Source organism: Homo sapiens, chromosome 4 (assembly GCF_000001405.40).
Source record: "Homo sapiens chromosome 4, GRCh38.p14 Primary Assembly".
Lineage (NCBI taxonomy): Eukaryota > Metazoa > Chordata > Mammalia > Primates > Hominidae > Homo > Homo sapiens.
Window position 1 is genome coordinate 113,321,458 of NC_000004.12, and position 21,537 is coordinate 113,342,994.

A 21,537-nucleotide genomic window follows, 5' to 3' on the forward strand; every position below is an offset into this window, starting at 1 on the left:
TTCAACAAACACAATGCATTTGATGACTCTAACAGAATGAGTTATTACTATTGAAAACTCAATGATTCTCAGTTTCCTGGTATTTGAAAGCTACCATGATATTAATGTATATGAGTAACACTCATCATACCATGTCATGTAGCAAGAGTTTTTTGTAATTTTATTCATTATACACCAGGTTCCTAAATAGTAGCTTTTATTTATTTTTTTTGAAGAACTTAGTTTTTCTTTAATTAATTGGGTGGATTCTTAAGCCACTTCAAGTTCTACCCAAAATGTAAGGAAAAAAAAAGGAGACGAAGTCTTACTCTGTCACCCAGGCTGGAGTGTGGTGGCACAATCTCAGCTCACTGCAACCTCCACCTCCCGGGTTCAAGTGATTCTCCTGCCTCAGCCTCCTGAGTAGCTGGTACTACAGGTGTGCACCACCATGCCCAGCTAATTTTTTGTATTTTTGGTAGAGACAGGGTTCGCCAGTTAGCCAGGCTGGTCTGGAATACCTGACCTCAGGTGATTCACCTGCCTTGGCCTCCCAAAGTGTTGGGTTTATAGGCGTGAACCACCGTGCCCAGCCAAAAAACAGATATTTTGATAGAGGTGATAATAAAGTTAGTTTTTTATGCACATGCCACTGATTTGTACATATAATGTTCTCTTAAATTTAATAAAGGGATTTTACATTAATAGAAGACACCGTTTCTACCAATAAGCAGTATTGGTGATTTTATTTTACCTCTATTTTATGTTTCCAGTGACTAATGTTCATAACTAGAGAACAATAGGTATCAGTGATTAAAAAATCAGTATCAGTGATTAAAAAATCAGTATCAGTATTAAAAAATCTGTTCTGCTCAATACACACAGCAAATACCTGGCAAAAGAAAGACTAACATTTGCTGTTTATTTTAAAGTGTTGTCTTCAGATTCACAATGACTCTAATCAACAGTTATTTCTAGCATCCTAGTCATGATCATAACAACATAATCTTGGGCAAGAATTTTAATTTTACAATTCTTCTTCATTTCATAAGTGCATAAGGAATTAGAAGATGTAAGACACAACTCTTAGCAGTAGCTAGCTTTGTAAGTCTTCTTAAATATTGTTATTAAAGGTCTTTAGTTTTTGTAGTGTTTTAATTACAGTCAAATGCCAACAATTAAATGTCAATTCATTAAAATGTCCTACACAGTCATACATTAACTGGAGGTCTGTAAGGTTGTCTTTTAAAGAACTTCTTTTCATAAAAACATGTTGAAGGCAATTTTGTTGTTTACCTAAAATTTCTCCAAAAATAAAGTCTATTTTAAAAATCATCTTGAAGGTATTCTCTCAAATAACGGGATATTTGAAATGCAAGGAAGTCAAGGCTCTCACTTGACAATATTAATGTTTATCTAATATGTACGGCAGTTAAGTTAGTTATTCATGTATTTCACAACAGCCTAGGGTTTTTTTTAGATACGTGAAGGTAAATTCTTTTAGATGAGGAAAGTTTTTTCATAATAAGTAGCAAAACAAGTGTTTAGTAAGGTTGGATTTCCGGTCCATTAAGCATGTATACTTTTGTATGTCATTAGGGTTGAAAACACAAGAGAATCTTGTGAAAGCTTATGGAGGGTTTTACGGAAGAGCAGACTCATAGGTAGAAGAAGAGTGAAAGGTAGAACTATAATGTGGGATTAGACATTATGACCACTGAGGAAGACAGCAATCTCCAAAGCAGGAAATGAAGTATTGACAAAAGCACCAAGACTTTGTTTGCATAGCTTTTTTTTGCGATACTCTAGTAGGTAATTGATATTACCTACCCCGCTTTATAGTTTATGCTACTGTTTGTTGTTGATCTATACTTTAAATTGTGCCTTTTCTTTTTGCATTTCTTCTGTGATAGCCCAAAAAGTTATTATCATTATTTTTAAAGTATTAAATGTATAAAACAAAAACCTTTGCGTCAAAACTGTGTCCATCAAATCAAAGACTTTATGTTTTTCATCATAATGACCCTTGATGTTTCTGTAGCTTCTTGGACACTCAGACTTTGTTAAACGCCCTCATAAGCCAATGTTGACCAAGGTTAAAAACCCATATCCAGTGATTTTATAATATCCCCAGTTCTCTAAACTGGGAGTTGCCACAAAGCCCCCATAACTTGCTCTTCTCGACCTATATCTCATTTGGATTTCCATTTGTTTTCAATGAATAAGGTATTGGTGTATAAATAATAAGTCACTTCTGAGTTCCTTCCTTATATTTCACTTTATCCGTTCCTTCTCTGTGCTAAAGTATCTATTCTGTTGCAGCCGCGCCTCTCCATGTCTTGAACGTGACAACAGCAGGTGAACTACTGCATAATTCTTTCTCTGAACATGTTGCCTATTCCTCTCCCCCTTTCGCCATCTCCTTCTGCATATTCCTTGCCTCAGGATGCTTTAGTGTGAAGATACCTAGCCAAAGAGATAGAAAGATTGATGTTCTCCAAATTGTGGCTATTGCTGAATTCCCCTTTCTCTGTGATGAAGAGAAAGTGGTATTTTTAATTTCAGTGGAAATAAAGTGGGGCTGTTCCAGACTTACTGTGGACTGCCTGTCTTGGTCATGGGTCTCCACATCTCCAGCTTCTTTTGTGAGAAAAAGTGCTACATAGAGATGAAAAATGTTGTTCCCTACAATTATGCAAATTGGTCAAGCTATTTTAGGGTTTTATTAAAGGTTATGATTTTAAGTGGCACTTAGCAGAGAGTTTTTTGTTGTTCTGGGTTTTATTTTAAATACCATATTCTAGGTGAGGCAAAGGCTGAAAGTGTATTAGTAGTGCATTTCCTTGCTAGTACTGCTATAAATGCAACCTTTTGATATTTTAGAAATTGTACTGTAGCATGACTAGTCAGTGTTCTAAAAATACCTGTTATTCTGTTATTTATTTAAAGTTATTTTTAAAGGTTCCTATTAGACTGCTAATTATAGTATTTTTATTATACAGCCATCCATTATGGTACTACAAATTATCAGTCTACAAAAAAGACAGTTTTGTGTTTTTATTTTTGAAAACTTTTATATACATCCTTATACTTTTTCTCAAATGCACGCTATTGTCTTTCCATACGTGAACACAGTGGTTGATAAATAATTGTTTGGTGATTTTAAAAAATTTGAACCACTTTTTTCAAAGCCATATCCAAGCAATTTTTAAGTTTATAGAATTTGGAGAATTAGGAAGGAATTAAGGGAATTACAGAGGAGAAAGAGCTCATGCAATGGTTTGTCTCACAGTACCTCAGAAATCGGATTTAATCTGAGGCCCTCTTGCTATGTATATGAGGATCACTGAAGCACTCTGATGATTTTTTTTCCTGTTCTTTCAACTAACTCTGAATGCTGCAATTTCCTCCCCATTCCCATCCCATGGTCCTCAAAGAATTAAAAATAAAACTAAAGGAATAGTAACTTTGGGGGTGGAGGATGTAGTCCTCAAATGACTGGATCATGGTTTTCTCCTGCCTCCTCTGAAGCATGTACTGTTTAGCTAATCAAATTGTGTATTTGTAGGCAAGTCATCTGCATAATAATGGTTGCTTTTGCTTTTATTCTTTTTAAATTGTGATAACATTGTATCTCACAATTTAGAAAACTTCAACAAGAGTTTCTACTTTGCATGATTGCTGAATTTCATTTGGAGAGTAAGAGATGCAATTAAAGCTGAGTGTTAACATGATATTTTTTGTATGTACAGTCTTAAGTCAATGTTTAGTGCAGTGTGTGTACACATTTTCTGCAAAACAGCTGTTTTAACCATAAAGCAAAAATGATATATATTTCCTGAAGTAATAGCAGTTTATTTTCCAATTAAGAATTCTTTCAGAGCATCTGAAATGAAAGGTTTAAGTAGGTTTCCTAACCTAGTTAACAGTAAACTGTGCATATAATTTTAATACTGGAAGGCAACTTAGAGTCTATTTAGTATAAGTCTCCCATTTTATGGATAAGAAAACTGAAATCTAAAGATGTTAAGTGACTTACCTGAGGTTACAACATTAATTCAAGATAGAGATATAACTAGACCCAGGGAAGAGCATGGTACTTGCTGCATTCTCCTGTGCTGTGTGATAATAGTATTTTTATATCTTATTTAAGTAAACTTCATAAACTAATAAAAACTTCATCATCATTTTAAACTACTTAGCATAGTTCCAGGTTCATTGTAGGTACTCAATAAAGGTTAGTTTCTCCATTTATTTTTCAAGTGGTATATTGTATTGTGTTTAAGATATTTAAAATATGTAAAATCCCGTAAGTGTAGAGAAAGGAAGATGATGGGAACAAGCATTTATTGAATTCCGTATGCTTTACCCACACAAGATTTCTCACTGTAACCTTAAGTGGTAACAGGATTATTTTTCATTGCCAGGTGAGGCTTCAATCTTAAAGATCATAGATGACAGGCAGAGCCATCAATCCATATTACTGCCTCCTCTAAACATATTTAATTATATGTTTTTACTTAAGTTATTTTCATCTCCAAATGTTTATGGGGATTATCTTGTCCCATTTTTAATCTCCTGCAAACATGAGAAAAATCACATTGATTCAGTCAACTCCAGTATGTGAACGACTCATCTCGCGACTCACACCTTCTAACCTTTCTCATTTCCCTGTGGTACATAAAAGTACGTTTGCTTACAATTTTTTTTATGCTTATTTGCAGTTGTTTTTTACGTGGTAGAATACCTGTCTCCTAACTCTACTACCTGTCCAAATAGTGGCACTTTTGGGTATTCTAATATTTTTAATGAAAATGCTCAGATGCTTACCCAATTTTATATTATCAACTGTTGGGATTCACTGATAAGCATACCTATTGTCAATAGACTTTTCATCAGCACCTAGCTATAAACTTGAGTTATTTTTCCTGTTCCTTCTTATTTAAAGAAAAGACTTCTTTTATTATGCAATTCTGTAAATTCAGCATTTTTATCAGTTGTTTGGCAATTCCATTATTTGAGTCTAATTTGTTTAGAGTATTTTCTTGCTAGATTTTATAAACAGTTTTACTCATTTTGACTATTAATATTTAGCTTTTTTATATCTTCCAATATTTTTATTTCTTTCTTGACATCTTTCTGTTTTACTTTCTTCTCTCTCTTCTCTTTCTCTTCTAAAGAAAATTTCCTCACTACAACTTGGTGGGTTTTTTTGGTTTGTGTTTCTTCCTTTAGTTACTTGATAAAAACACGAAGGCTTGTTTTCTTTAAAAATTTAATTTAGGCCAGGCACAGTAGCTCATACCTGTAATCCCAGCACTTTGGAACTCCAAGGCAGGAGGATTGCTTGAGCCTAGGAGTTCAAAACCAGCCTGAGCAACATAGGGAGACCCCATCTCTGAAAACAAACAAACAAACATTAGCCAGGTGCAATGATGCTGCCTGTATTCCCAGCTACTTGGGAGGCTAACATGGGAGGATCACTTGAGCCCCGAAGGTCAAGGTTACGGTGTGCTATGATAGCACCACTACACTCCAGCCTGGGTAATAGAGTAAGACCCTCTCTCAAGGAAAAAAAAATTGTTTTTTCTCTGAATTATGCATACTGGCACCTGAATTTTTCCAATTTGCTTTGGATTTTTGTGCAATACTTAAATATTACTTTCCAGGTTTACAATGACACAGAGATACTTATAGGTAAATTTATCTGCTTGCAGCTTCAGGCTTTAAAGTGCTATTATTTTGATTTTCCCATCTTTGGTCTTTCTTCATATAATTTTAACTTCTATTAAAATGGTTTATTTTGTTAAATTCAAACTTCTGGTTTTTGCTTACTCTCATTTTCTACTAGTCCTCTATCAAAGGAAATCAATGTATTAGGTCTCTCTATATACATTAGAGCAGGAATAAGCCTGTAGGAGAATATTTAACATTCAGGAGAGTCGTTCCCAACTGCTTTCCTACATCTGAATATAGTGATTCGAATGAATTCTGACTGCTCTGATTGTCCAGAGACTAAAGAATTAAATTTCCTCCTATGTTAGCCTTAGACATAAATATATACAGCTCCTCACGTCTTGCCCTTTTCACTAGGTTGTACATTCGCTTATTCAACAGTTATTTATTGACTGCCTGCTAAGTGCTCCATCCACACTGTGCCAGGCTCTAGAGGACACAGGAAGAAATATGGAGAACATGTTCACTGTTATTATGGCACTTTTATGGCTCCTATGTGTGGACTTAGTCATTTCTCAGTGACCAGGAAAGTAAGCAGTTCCAAGTAATGACGAAACCATCATGTGACATCTGGGGCTTACACCATGTACTTTGTGGCAGCAGCTGCTATGTCTTTACTTTCTGTATCCTCAGTTCTTAGCAGGGCACTTGACACTTAATAGGAGGGTAACAAATGTTGCATTGAAAGGAGCATAGAAACGGAACTATAGAGCAAGTGAGAACAAAAAGAGAGTTTCAAGAGACACAGTCAATGACACAATCAGGGCAAGTAATCTAACCTGTAGTTACTTAAACATTGTTACAGTCAGGAACTTAGCTACTTCAATTCACTCTTTAGAGAATGGGCCACCAGAAGATACTCTACATGTTCTTCCATCGAGGCTCCATGTTATATAGGCCATAAGCCATCACTGGAATAAATGTAGTGGAGAGGTTATAGCACACAACATGAGCGTGGAAACTTACTAAATGCCTTCAAAGGTATAAATAGTACTGAGGATTGATAACATTAAGCAGGTGTATTATAATAATTCCTTACTAGTTTGAGTTCCTGTCTGTGCACCAATGGAGGCAGCAACCAAAAGATGAAAAAAAAAACAAAGGAAATATTAATCTTAATTATCAGTGAGTCAAAAATATTGCAATGAATTTGGAAGTAGCACTAGTTGAAACTTGTCACTTTTTGCTACTTTTTCACAAAAACCAACCTAAGTATCCTACTCAAATAAGAACAATAAAATGGAAAGGAAAACTTTACATCTGTCTAGAAGTGTTACCAGTATTTTCATTCTTTTGAGCAACAAATAGTTCATTTAAAAGTCAAATAAAAAAAATTTTAAAGAATTCATACTGGAAGACTAGTAATAAGAAAAGTGGCAAATATTTTCTCATTATGTTTTGGTAAAGACCAGAAACATCAACACTTCAGTACTGAACTGTTGATTGTACTTCCCAGTTTTTACTCCTTCCTGAAAACTTTAAGCGGGCTAGGTATGAATGGAAGGTCTAGCCTGGCCCCTGCATGTGGGAAGGCCTGTGCTGCCTCTTGTGGTCTCATCCTGCATGACATGCTTCAGACAGGCACTCTGGGCTCCTTCGCACCCATTTTTATTACTAGCAACAGGATTTCTGTTTAATAGCATGTTTAATGAGTTCTGTGTTCCGCTTTGAAGAAGATGCTAAGATATTTTTCTTCATTTATCTAAAAATAACATAAATGTTTTGTGTTTATATCCCATAACTTACTTTGATAAAATACCTTTCAAATGTTTTAAATGTCGTGGAGGCAATATCTAGGTGGGACAAATCCAGTTGGTTCTGTGCTGAGCAGATTATAAGCAGAGACATGATACACCTGTATGTTGCTTTCCTCTTCCCATTTTGGTGTAAAGATCTTGCAAATGCAATGAAAATTTGAAAAGACACTAATGTAATTTGTGAAAGAGAGTACACACAGTTTGTATGTCTTTGTATACGTATACACAACACTTAGATTGCTGTGTTGTTTAATTTTTGCTCCTCGACACAGTAAGTGCCTGGGAGACTTTAATGAGTGTTAATACCAACCAAATGACAAGCATTCAAATTAACCTGGATCAGGATCTGCTAAGACCATCCCAAAGGAAACAACTTCAAAGTTAAGACAAACCCGTTCTCTTGGTACACTTAAAGAAACCAAGTCATCTTGGATTATAGTTCTCCTTTTTCATGAACAATTAACCTAGAAGAAAAGGAGAAAAATTAATAGGGATGCTGTTAACATTTCTAAATTATTAGCTATAATTTTTTACATTCAATTTATTACAATTTGAGAAAAATCATGATACAGATGATACAGATATCTTCCAGCAGCATGAGCCCAGGGTTTCCCACTCCTGAAATTTCACTTCAAAAATGGTGTATGGGCGGGCCTACTTGTTCCCTATCCACCTGCTGTTCATTTCAATTAGAATGGTATGGCAGAGAGATTCCTACTCAATAAGTTAAAAAGTACATTTTAACCAGCAAATTAAATTAGTTCAATTCAAAAGATTTAATTATTTTGCATTTCTCCTCCTTTAGAATATAATCAGTTAAAAATCTACATCCTGGGTAAGATGATGTTGGAACAGGATGCAGAAAAACTGCAATTTGGTCTTTCCTCTCTGCTTTGTCCTTGTATTATTTCAACATGTAGATTTTTTAGGATGTACACATAAGGAAGCAGAAGTCTTTCCATTTATAACAAAAGGAAACTTGTCAATTGTTCTTTATGTAATTTCATTCCATTTTCCTTCAAAATCAATTAGGCTTATTTTTAATTTACAGTTTATATTGAACATCACCATTGTCAGCAAAAATTAGAATTATTCTTTACAGATTAAAATAATATAAAAATTAGAACAACAACAAAACAGAATTAAAGGCATTGGTATAAAGTAAAATAACTTTTAAAAACAAGCATTTTACCACCATGCATTTAAATAAAAAAGAGAGATTTTGAGACAAAGCATTACGAAAAACAACTTGACAAAGCTTGTTCATCTGCCCCCAATATTTCAAAACATATCTAATCTTCTATTTTAATTTTTAGTTTCCTGGTTAGTTTTATGGTGGATGCCCGAGGTGGTGCTATGCGAGGATGCAGACACAATGGGCTCCGAATCATTATTCCACCTCGGAAATGTACTGCTCCAACGCGAGTCACCTGCCGACTGGTCAAGCGCCACAGACTGGCAACAATGCCTCCAATGGTGGAAGGAGAAGGCCTGGCCAGTCGCCTGATCGAAGTTGGACCTTCTGGTGCTCAGTTCCTTGGGTAAGGGTTTCTGATAAACCTCCCACTTAGTCATCGATGAGCTTGTGTCCTCTACATGAAATCACTAGGATGGAATGGAAAAAGGTACGTCAAACCATTTTGAAAGAGGATCAGCACCAATGACATTTTTAAAATTGGAAGTAGCACCTCAATGCTTGACTCCACTTACACGCCTCTTATTTTAAGGCATTAATGAGTTAAACATTCAGGTTGAATACCACTTCTTCTTTTTGGATGTTAATAATAGCTGCCAGACCCCCAATGTGAATAACCAGTATTTTAGCCGATGGTAGGTATTATTTTCTCATCTGAGAATTAAGTGGTAAAGTCACAAAGAAAAAATTCTGCTCTGTTCCAAGCATAAATGTAAATTCTCATACAGTTATGAAACAGAATCATTATCTTTACTTTGGAAAGCAATGTTGCCTTTACAGAATACCTACAAATTTAATCAATGTGATTTTTTTTTCAGCTATCAAAATTGCTACCTTGAGCCTTATCATTACATTGGCTATTTAGTCACAGTTTATATTAAGACAAATACATCAAGACTAGCTTCCACCGTGCTCGTTTTGGCAATTTTGAGCAGAATTTAGCATTTCTTCTTTCTTCTGTTTGTTTGTACGGCTGCTGTTATATTAAGTGGCATTTCATTGTGCCAAGAAATGAATAGCTACAGCTGAAATTAACAAAAGGATGAAGTTTTGGAGGGGGACAAGTTTCAAAATATTTTGAAACAAATCAATTGTATTTAAGTCTTGGTGCTTGAAATACTGGGAGAAAATCCTAATAATCGTGAACTCTTTTACTTTGCCGATGTCATATTGGGAAGAGGATTTCTTGCTTTAGAACTCAGGAAATGTTCTAAAGCTTTGTAATTTGGACCAAACTATTAGCAGATTGCTCCAAATTATGTTCACACCTGAAAAGGGGTGTGTTTATATTTCCCAATTATAGCAACCACTTCTCATGTCCTCCAGTCAGACAGACCAGAGCTTTACAAGGAGCCTGTGAAGTTCTGGGTTGCATCAGAAAATGCCATTATGTTTGGAGTAATTCCCCAATGATTCTTTTCATATTCTGTGTCAGACCCTGTTCCCCTCGTGCTCAGATAGTTTAGGCTTTTTAATAATCTTCAGATCTGTTGGGGAATATGCATGAAAACATCTGGCCTCTGTACAGGGCAGAGTTTTCATTATATTCCCAACAGCTTGTCTTTCTTGTGGAGCATTTTTTCCCCCTTTTTGGCTAGTGCCCTGGCGGTGAACCTAATTAGGGACAGACCGGACAGCTAAGTGCTCTCCTTGCACAGACGCGCCTCCATTGTACACTCTGGGTCTCGGTTCCTTGCTCTTTGTGACCAATGGAGGGGGCAGAACCAAACGCAGTGTGAAACCAAAGTTCACCCTGTGGATCAGCTGGCGACGCTGGGGTTCTGTGGAAGACAATACCTGAAGCTTACCTATGTTCTTTCTTTCACTGCTGCTTTGGATGTACTCAGTAAACTTCACCTGCCAACGGCTCCTCCCCCACTTAATGAGGGAGAAAGTTTGGTCAGCCGCATTCTTCAGCTGGGGCCTCCTGGAACCAAATTCCTTGGGTAGGAGTGACTTAAAACAAATTGATGGCTGCTGGCCCCCCATTCTTCTCCTTCTTCTGCAATATGATTTCTCTTTTTTGTCATTGTGCCCATGACATGTCCCTTTCTATGATTTAAATTCTGTATAACCTATCTTTAGTGGACCATTTCTGACCCTTGTGGTATGTGACTTTTATTTTTGAGTGATGTTTTTATATCTTTCCCCTTAAAGTGCTGTGACCTTCATTTTCGTTTAAGCATGAGATCTGCCTAGTTGTACTATGTGCTAGTTATGATGTTGTTATGATGAATTTGGAGTCTGTATCAAAGCAACCTGGACCCAAAAATCAAAACCCTCTACATATTTTGAGAACGAATGTGACCTAAAAATAATAGGGCAGTGCATGTTCCGGATCCTGAATATAATAGGCATTGGACACAATTGGGCTGTCTGCTGAGGGGCTCAATTAGGGCCACACTGTGTACACATGCCTATTGTTTCCTTGAATGAAGAAAATATAAGCAAAAACCACGAGTGCATGGCTCTTTAGTTCACAAGTAGTCAACTTTCTGACATCTCCTCATTTACGACACATCAAATTATGCAATGTGTGAGCCATTTTCCTCTTAAACCATTTCGTCATTTTGCACCTTGTCGAAAATGTTTTAGGAGATTGGCAGACATCATAGATATGCATGTACATTTCTTTTGGTTAAATGTGTTCTACTTACATTTATCAAAGGAGAAGTTCCAGAATGTCACATGCACTCACAGGGAAACATTATTTGGCTTAAGGTAGCAGCATGTACCTGAGGATTGGTGCCCCTGAGGTGGAGTGCTACTGTGTGACCATCTGCTAGCCAGTGGGCTCCAGGGGATGGCCCACTATGTCCCTGTCCCCAGCAAAAGAAGAATTCCAGGTCACTTTGCAACAGAGTCGAGGTGCTTGTCTTGCTGTTAGTTAGCTCCTGTCCACACTGAATGTTCTGCATTGCTATGTCAGGCCTGTGATCGTGGAGATCCCTCACTTTGCGGCCCTTCGAGGAAAGGAAAGGGAACTGGTGGTCCTGCGCAGTGAGAATGGGGACAGCTGGAAAGAGCATTTCTGTGACTACACTGAAGATGAATTGAATGAAATTCTTAACGGCATGGATGAAGGTACTTTCAGATGAAGCGTTTTAAAAGAAATCTAAACTGGAAGCATGAAAATGATTCATTTCTTTCTTATGACCTAGGGGTGTGTGTATATGTGTGTGTGTGTGTGTGTGTGTGTGTGTGTGTCCCTTGTGGTATTTTACTACAGCAGGTAATCTGCTTTGCTCCTGTAGTGATGAGTTGGAATGCACAATACTTTTGCTTAATTTTACTCCTGTTACATTCAGGAAAATAAAAGCCTTGAAGATATCAAACATCTCATTAAAGAGATGCAGCATGCTTCCATTTTTAGTGTAAACTTTTTTGAGCCGAAAATGAGATAGAATAGATATTGTTGCTTCATAACGAAATGAACTGATACTGGATAATAAATCCATGATTTAAAACAATGCCTAACTTGAAACATTAGATATTTAAGATACTGATAAAAAGTGTTAAGCTACTGTGTTGGAAAACTTACATCTACCCATAATTAGTAAGTTATAGAATACTATAATTTTTAAACTATTATTAAGGGGGTAGGAAAATTAAGTTCATTCAATTTCCTACCTATAATTCAAACAGGGAGTTAGCCAGGGTTGAATTGCATACACATACATACACATCTAGTTTAGGAACTTAGTTTTCCATTAGAACTTCAATTGCTGTAAATCTCAACTCTGTCTTGGACTGCACAAGGTTGTAATATCTCAGTATGAAAAGAGGAAAGCGGCTCTTCCTCAGGTCTCCATAGTTTGCACAGAGAAAAGGTCCTAGACCTAATAGTAGAATTCACATTCAACTTTAAGTAACTACACAAATAGGGCAAGTTCTTTGCCTGCATGCCAGGAACATACCAAGTTTTGTATACAGCTAGACACTCAAGAGCAAGTATAGCTGTTTATCAAGTTCTTGAGTCTTCTGGCACTAGTTTCAGATATGGCTTATGGATAGGAAAGAGTAGCCTGACCATCGCTTCTTTACCATTTCTTTCTACATCCTACCACGGTTTGAATAAGAATAGAGGCCAGGCTTATCTTATCCAAGGGGTGGATGGAGGAAGAAATTATGCCCTCTAGATATGTTAAGTCAATATCTTCTAAGCAAAGAAAAAAATCAGGGTTTTTATTAATAAAAATTGTTCCCTACAATATTTAGCTGCTTCTACTTCTTGGAACCATTCCTTTTGCTGACATTTAGGTTTAGGATATTTTCCTCTGAGATATTTACCTATCAATGACACTGCCAGTGAGCATTGGTATCTTGCCCTTGGATGGGGACCCACTCTTTAACTTTATTTATTTAAAAATGAGCTTTTTACATGGGTATTAATAGAAAGTTAATAGATTAATTAATCTATTACTAGAAAGTTAATAGATTAATTAATCTATTACTAGAAAGTTAATAGATTAATTAATCTATTACTAGAAAGTTAATAGATTAATTAATCTATTACTAGAAGGTTAATAGATTAATTAATCTATTACTAGAAAGTTAATAGATTAATTAATCTATTACTAGAAAGTTAATAGATTAATTAATCTATTACTAGAAAGTTAATAGATTAATTAATCTATTACTAGAAAGTTAATAGATTAATTAATCTATTACTAGAAAGTTAATAGATTAATTAATCTATTACTAGAAAGTTAATAGATTAATTAATCTATTACTAGAAAGTTAAAGATTTGTGTATGTCTGGAAATTTTAAAAATAAATATAGGCTAGTATTTGCCAGTGCATCAGTCTTCAATCATGTGGAATCAGATCCTGGGACTTTTTACTTTTACTATCTAGCTATGCCCAATAATCAAGAAAAACGTAGTTGCTGTTCCTGCCTCTATAATGAATTGTAAATGATTTCTAAAAATGAACAACTTTCCATCACCTCTTAAAATTCAGTGATCTATATAGTGCACATTTTCTAAATTTAAACTAGTTTGATTTTTTTTGTATTGCCCTGAATATCTACACTAATGCAATTTATAAAGAACCCATGATCCCATCCTCTTGATGTTAAATGTTATTTTTGGAAATTTAATGGCATCAGGGGAATATTGAAACCCTGAATTCCTAATCACTGATTTTTTAATATCCACAGTGAGTACCTCAGACACAACCCTTCCACTGGAGTAAACTCATAAACATGACTCTTACTCTTCCAAGATAGATTTTATTCCTGCATTATTCCCCTGAAAACCCAAAGGGCTATGTTACTTCTTAAAACCACAATAACTTGGATTTGAGCTAACTTTGAAATTTGCAAAGAAAAGGAGCCCAGAAACAACTTCCTTTCCATCACATGAACCAGGAATAGAACACGTTCATTTCATTCCATATTTGCCCTCATGCCTCTCATTTCAAAGGTGGCCCTGCAATGCTGCACCTAGAACTAAATGTTTATCTTTCTCAGTGACCTGGAAAGTCACTGAGAAGAAAGGAAACATGCAAGCTAAATGCTGACAGATCTTGAAATATTGCAATTTTTTGTTTTCTGGTGTTGTTAGGATAGCCTTGCTTTTTAAAATTGTCCTGTTGTTTCAAAAAAATGTGTTTTGCTGGCACTTCTGTTCATTATTAACCGAGCGAATGAGTTGGCTAGAATGCTGTTAGAAGGAAATCTTTGCTATGTGAATGAAGGTGGGTCATTTCTTGTCTTAGTACTGGATAGCCCAGAAGACCTAGAAAAGAAACGAATCTGCCGCATCATCACCCGAGACTTCCCACAGTACTTTGCAGTGGTGTCTCGTATCAAACAGGACAGCAATCTGATTGGCCCAGAAGGAGGTGTACTGAGCAGCACAGTGGTGCCCCAGGTGCAGGCCGTCTTCCCAGAGGGGGCACTCACCAAGCGGATCCGCGTAGGCCTGCAGGTATGCCCATGTTAGATGCAAATGATCCTAACAGGATTGTATTCTAATGATTAAAAATTAGCTTTGTCAAGGACTGTTACCTTTGTTTTATAATCACACCAAAAAGGAAGGTAGCATTAATGGTAAAGCTAAAGTCAAAATCCATATTTATTGGTTACTAATCTATTTAAAAATTCAACTTATATTTGGACAATTAACCAAAATTAATCTCCAGCTACAAATGTTTTCTTCTTGTAAAAAAAAAAAAAAGAAATTAGCTTTTAAATGAGAAATAAATTGTTAAAGAATCAGATTATTCCTAGTAAGCAAGAGCTGCCATCAGAGATCGTGGATCTTACAAAATTTTATGAGTGCTTAGTAATAATACTGAACTTATGATTGCCATATTTGAAGCCCACCAAACTTATTTGTAAGATAAAAAATACTTTGGGGAAGAAATTTGAAATTAAGTATAATGATTCATTCTTTATTTTAAAATATATACACAAATATATATGTGTGTGTTTTTACTTTGAAAAGGCTCAACCTATGCACAGTGAGCTGGTTAAGAAGATCCTAGGCAACAAAGCTACCTTCAGCCCTATAGTCACTTTGGAACCTAGAAGAAGAAAATTCCACAAACCAATTACCATGACCATTCCTGTCCCCAAAGCTTCAAGTGATGTCATGTTGAATGGTTTTGGGGGAGATGCACCAACCTTAAGATTACTATGCAGCATAACAGGTGAGTCACATATGACTGTGTTCGTAGAGAGTTCTGAAAAAAGAAACTTAGATCGTTGTAAATATTAAATTACCTTTGTCATAAGATGTCTGCAGGGTCATATGCATTAATTCAGGGAATACATTTTAATTAACTAGGGAAATGAAAGGTGAAAGGAAACAACTATTATTTACTAAATGAAGTCTGTATGCCAAACTGTTAGATAGTTTATATGCGTTGTCATTCTAATCTCCACAGTAACCCTGTGAGGAAACTTTAACCCCGTGTTGCTGAGAAGGAAACCATGGTTGAAAGAAGTTCTATAACTTGCACTATAAATATTTGGTGGTGTTGGGATTCAAAACCACACCCATATGTCTCCAAAGTTCAGGCTTCAAGCCTTCATTGAAGAGATCACTAAATCTGCTGGGAAAAAAAATACTGTCTTGAGTAATTATACCCAATAGTTCAAACCAAACTGTTATGTTATGGAATTGGTTATGTCTTTATCATTGATCTATTGAACTAACTTTAGAAAAACAACTTAAAGGTTTTCAGTGATTAACTGATTTTTGGTCTTTTCAATTGTGGTTGTGTAGTCGCTTTCAGACAGCTACCAAACTCTCCAAAGACACTCCCAGAACGTTGGTAGTCTCTTCATAACAATGCCATCACAAATAGTGAGAGGCAAAAAAATTCACATGAATAATCTGTTCTAGGGCTAAATAATTTAACTGATAATTTCTCTATCAATAATTACATGGTGTTGGTATTCAGTAAATATTAGTACTATTATTAGTAGGAACAGTAATCATCCCTGGATGTTTTTGTATTGTTAGAATTATTATTTTCATTTCTCTTTCATATTGGCAGAATGTTCACCTTTATTTTGTTTTCTTTAATTCACCCTTCTTACTCGTATGTTTCTTGTAGTTATGATAGAGAACCACGAGATTATTCCATAAGTTTAATAATAATGAGTGGGGGGAAATCATATGCTTCACTTATGATCTCTTTCCCAGTTGCTCATTTTTGGTTATTGCTATCATTTCTGGGTATCTTTCCCATAATTCCAGCCCCGTAGATATATGATTAACCTTCTATAATGTGCAATATAATGTCATGGATGTGAAATAGGTGAGGCAGAAGAATATCTGTGATACGCTCTGCCCTTATAGTGATTAAATAAACACTCTAGGGGCCTAAACACCATCTACTCTATTTATTCCAGCACAATGTCTTTAGACAGGTTTCTCATAAACATTTCTGAAATTTAATTAAAATTATTTTAAAAATTAACAAATAATTTAATGTATTAATTGTTTAAATACCTAGATATTTGAGTCTTTGTATTTTTCTGTGTCATGTAGTTATGCTGAGTATGTATTTTAAAGGCCTACTAGAATAAACTTCCATAAACTTTCTTTGATAACTTGTTCTCTTCTTTAAGAAACTTTAGAGTCAAGACTTTTCTTCATTTCAAACATATATTCCTCCTACAGCCCTTTGAACTAAAATTTTGTCCTTATCTATGTGATCTTAATTTCTCAGTAGACATGAAAGACAGGTAGTCACCATTAGCCTTCATGGTAGTTTTTCAATGTACAGGGGCCATCCTTTGATATTCATTTATTTTTTCATTTACCTTGCAATATTTATTGAGCTCTTACTATTTCACAAACATTTTTTGGCTAAACTTTTATTGCACATCGAGAGGAACTTTTTTGAAAACAATTTCATAAAATATGAAGTTTAAGAACAAAAGAATATTTAGATTGTTCACTTTTTTTTTTTTTTTTTTTTTTTTGAGACGGAGTCTTGCTCTGTCGCCCAGGCTGGAGTGCAGTGGCACAATCTCGGCTCACTGCAAGCTCCACCTCCTGGGTTCACGCCATTCTCCTGCCTCAGCCTCCCTAGTAGCTGGGACTACAGGTGCCCACCACTATGCCCGGCTAATTTTTTGTATTTTTAGTAGAGATGGGGTTTCACCGTGTTAGCCAGGATGGTCTTGATCTCCTGACCTTGTGACCCGCCCACCTCAGCCTCCCAAAGTGCTGGGATTACAGGCATGAGTCACCGCGCCCGGCCGATTGTTCACTGTTTTAACAAACTGTTCAGCTCCTTAGGTGGTCAAAGGATATTTAAAAATAATCAGCTGTATACAATTCAAAATTATCTTCAGAGCCTTGCAATTATAATAAAAGCTTCAGAATGTCAGGAAGAGAACAGAAGGCTTAATAAACACTTATTCAAATAACTACCCTAAAACTTAGTTTCTTGAGTGGTAGTCTGCTGTTTGTTTTCAGTGTGTCATTTTTTAGCATGTAGATTTTAGTCATTTTGTTTTCAATGTGCCATTTTGAGGGGTGGGATTTGGCTTGTGAACACAGAACCACAAAGACTTTATTTTAGAATCTAGAGTCTGGAGTTTTGCCTGATTTTTTTCAACAATCATATTATTTCAGGTGGAACCACCCCTGCCCAGTGGGAAGATATTACAGGAACTACGCCATTAACATTTGTCAATGAATGTGTTTCCTTTACAACAAACGTGTCTGCCAGGTATCGTTATATAGCACAGAAAAGCCCACTATGATATGTTACCCTCCAAAAAAACTGCCCTTTGTTTTATTTTGTTTCTTTATTGTTTAAAAGTTATTTTTTCATTGGATTTTAAATATGGTCTGCCTTTGCTTTTATATTTTAAACTAGATCTGTCAGCAAGTGGAATAGTGATAATACAGTAACAAAGTATTACCAATCCGATTAAAATCTAAGGAAAAGGAGCGATTGTCTGCTTTGCCTGTATGATTCTGACTTAGTCAGTAGCAGCTGCTGCTTTTTCCACTTCCAAAGTCCTTAGGAATGATAATTTCCTGTTGTCAGCAAAATAGCCTGAACTACTTTTCCAACAGAATGATAACAGCACAAATCTCACCGTGGTTTGTCTAAAAGGCTTAGAGGCTTCAGTGGCTCTTATATACATTTCTTATTTATGTATTACATATCTTTAAAACGATGAAGCTATCTAGTTTTATTGCTTATGCACACAATAACTCAATTGATTAAAGTTAGCTCCCATTCCTTTGATCTTTAATTGATTGCTAAGCATTGTTACCTCTCTTTAACTTGACATTACAACTTTGTGACTTAAGTAGGGCAAGAGACATTATGTCCATTTTACAGATGAGAAAACTGAAGTTGAGAGTAATTAAAACGTACATTTCTATTTGGGGTGGAGGAGAAAACATAAAAGTGCATGAATAGTTAAGTAATGGCATAGCAATAGTTGGGTGTGGTGGCACATGTTTATAGTTCCAGCCACCCAGAGGCTCAACTATTGAGTCCGCAGTTCTGTGTTTCAATGTGTTTTGCCAATTTAGCATCTATACTGTAATCCAGAAGATGACATGTTCTGAATAAGAGATATAGACCAGAGGGACTAAAAGAATGAGAGAAGGGTGTTCGAATTGGGATAGCTAGAGAGGGTATCTGAGAAGAGGTGACTCGAGACATGTGTTGGAACCTAATAGGCAGATAAAAGTGAAAAAGAGAATAACATGAGCAAAGATGCAAAGATAGAATGAGAAGGTGTAGTGGGGGATAGCAACAATTATCCATGTAGTCTATAATTCAAAAATAATACTTGAGGCTGGGCCTGGTGGCTCATGCCTGTAATCCCAGCACTTTGGGAGGCCAAGACAGGTGGATTGCTTGAGCCCAGGAGTTCAAGACTAGCTTGGGCAACATGGTGAAACCCTGTCTCTCACAAAAAAGATACAAAAATTAGCTGGACATGGTGGCACACACCTGTAGTCCTAGGAACCAGGGAGGTTGAGGCGGGAGGATCTCTTGAGCCCAGAGAGGTCGAGGCTGCAGTGAGCCGTGATTGCGTCACTGCACTCCAGCCTGGGCGACAGAGACGTTGTCTCAAAAACAAAACAAAGCAAAAAACAAACAAACAAAAAACAAACAAACAAAATCTAGGACTGTTGGTTGCCAACACTTTATAAAAGGTCTTACAGGGTAGATTAAGAAGTGATAAATCACTGCACTCCAGCCTGGGCGACAGAGCGAGACAACGTCTCAAAAAAAAAAAAAAGAAAAACAAACAAAAAAAACAAACCCTTTGGAAGTATAAAATAACAAAATGAAAATATTTCCATCTAATGACCTCGACTTTCTTTGTGAAGTTAGCTCTCTTAGGGCCTGTGGTGAGGGATGAAGCTTAAAGAGTGTCATAAGATTTAGTAACGTTACCATAGTGAACAAAAAATTGCCAGTCAATGTCACAGACTTAGTTGAGGCTGGAAATCATAAAGTCATTATAGCCAATAATTTCTTCTATGAATTATATTCAGCAATACTTAGGAGTTCTGGAGCAGGTTTTTTAAAATGGTTGGGTTGATTCCACTTTGGTGATTAGAGTTCCATGGAAAAGAATAACGAGGGGAGGAAAAGCTGGGTAGATTTTGTTGAAAAGAGTTTCAGGAAATGAAATGACAGCTAGGGAGGGGGGATCAAGGAAAATAGAAAACTATGCAGTGAGATCCTTGTCTTATGTCTGCTATTGAGTTCACTCCACTAAAGGATTCCAAAACACTAAATATATAGTTCAGAAAACTGAATATTCAGAAGAGTTTCCAAAAAAGAAAATTAGAAATACAGTATTTAATAGTTGATCTTAAACCTGATATCTTTCTCTCTTCTCTTCACTCCCTTCTGCTTTCCCTTCTTTCCTCCTACCTTTCCTTTTGTTCCTGTCTTGCTATTTCTTTCCTTTGGCCTTCTCTCATTATCTCCCTCTCTCACTTCCTTTTTTCCAAGAAGCATTTGTTGACTACTTTGATCATATTGAAGGAACTGATTTTATTTTTCACATGGTATACTTTGAACTTTAGATAACTGACTTTATTTATTTTAATAGGTTCTGGCTGATAGATTGTCGACAGATCCAGGAATCCGTTACTTTTGCATCACAAGTATACAGAGAAATTATCTGCGTACCTTATATGGCCAAATTTGTAGTGTTTGCCAAATCACATGACCCCATTGAAGCCAGGTTGAGGTGTTTCTGCATGACTGATGATAAAGTGGATAAGACCCTTGAACAACAAGAAAATTTTGCTGAGGTGGCCAGAAGCAGGGATGTGGAGGTACTGTACCAAAAATAATAATAATAATTTATGCCATGTTGTTATACCTGCATTAATAGATTACATTTCAAATATCATTTAATAAATAGAATAATTAAAAAGTGAAAGACAAGTTCGCATTTTGGTCAGTTAGAAGGTCAACATCCAAAATCTGCCATTTTTAGCCATTTTGGACCTATTCAATAGGAATGATCTGTGCATGTGAGAAGGTAAGATGATTCCTTTAAAGATTATTTGAGGAAAAATTATGAGTTATTGATAAACTCAAAGTATGTAAGTGACTGTAGTACTTTAGATGTTTTTAGCTTTCCTTGTTGTCCTTATTTTTTAATAGTAACTAAAACAGTCTGGGAAGTATATCTTTTTGCATAAATGTTGAAGCAGGGTGTCTAGTGCTTTTCTACATTACTTTTTCTTATTTCAGAATTTTCCATCAGTGTAGGTCTTTGGGTGTTGAAGTCCAGTAACCTGACTCATTGTGATGTCAAAAGTTACCCAAGCAGGCCAGGTGTGGTGGTTCACGCCTGTATTCCCAGCACTTTGGGAGGCCGAGGTGGGTGGATCATCTGAGGTCACCAGTTCGAGACCAACCTGGCCAACATGGCAAAACCCTATCTCTACTAAAAATACAAAATTAGCTGGGCGTGGTGGCAGATGCCTGTAATCCCAGCTACTCAGGAGGCAGAGGCAGGAGAATTGCTTGAACCCGGGAGGCGGAGGTTGCAGTGAGCCAAGATCGCACCACTGCACTCCAGCCTGGGCAACAGAGTGAGACTCCGTCTCAAAAAAAAAAAAAAATTACCCAAGCATAAGTTTAAATTTAGGATTTAAATGTATTTTGGGGTTGTGGAATAATGGGATACACTTTTTGGAATGAGAACATTAAATGTCACCATGCATTAAAGATTCCCATTACTAGTAAGAAGAAAGAGTGCTGGACATGCTGTGTCACAGATAGACAGAATGTCAGTTGTCAATTTAAAGATGGTTGTATGTGTATTATAAGAATTTGAAGTTCCAAGTAGTACTACCACTTCTTTGTGTAAACAACAAGTATAATTGCAGCTACTTTATTGTT

General features: G+C 36.1%; 1 protein-coding gene across 73 annotated transcripts in view; it reads left to right on the forward strand.

Annotated features, from left to right (window-relative positions):
- The window catches only part of ANK2 (ankyrin 2), a 678,115-nt gene that overhangs the window by 615,836 nt on the left and 40,742 nt on the right, over positions 1-21,537 (forward strand). For 33 of the 73 annotated variants that reach the window (NM_001386187.2, NM_001386147.1, NM_001386160.1 and 30 more), the window contains 6 exons: positions 8,789-9,013; positions 11,597-11,751; positions 14,389-14,600; positions 15,120-15,324; positions 17,769-17,865; positions 20,231-20,459. In NM_001386187.2, coding sequence (NP_001373116.1) covers positions 8,789-9,013; positions 11,597-11,751; positions 14,389-14,600; positions 15,120-15,324; positions 17,769-17,865; positions 20,231-20,459 — 1,123 coding nt within the window. Of the gene's footprint in view, positions 1-2,301; positions 2,338-8,788; positions 9,014-10,514; positions 10,614-11,596; positions 11,752-14,367; positions 14,601-15,119; positions 15,325-17,768; positions 17,866-20,230; positions 20,460-21,537 lie in introns of those variants that run through there. The other 40 variants (NM_001386186.2, NM_001386148.2, NM_001354269.3 and 37 more) reach the window with 5 other exon arrangements.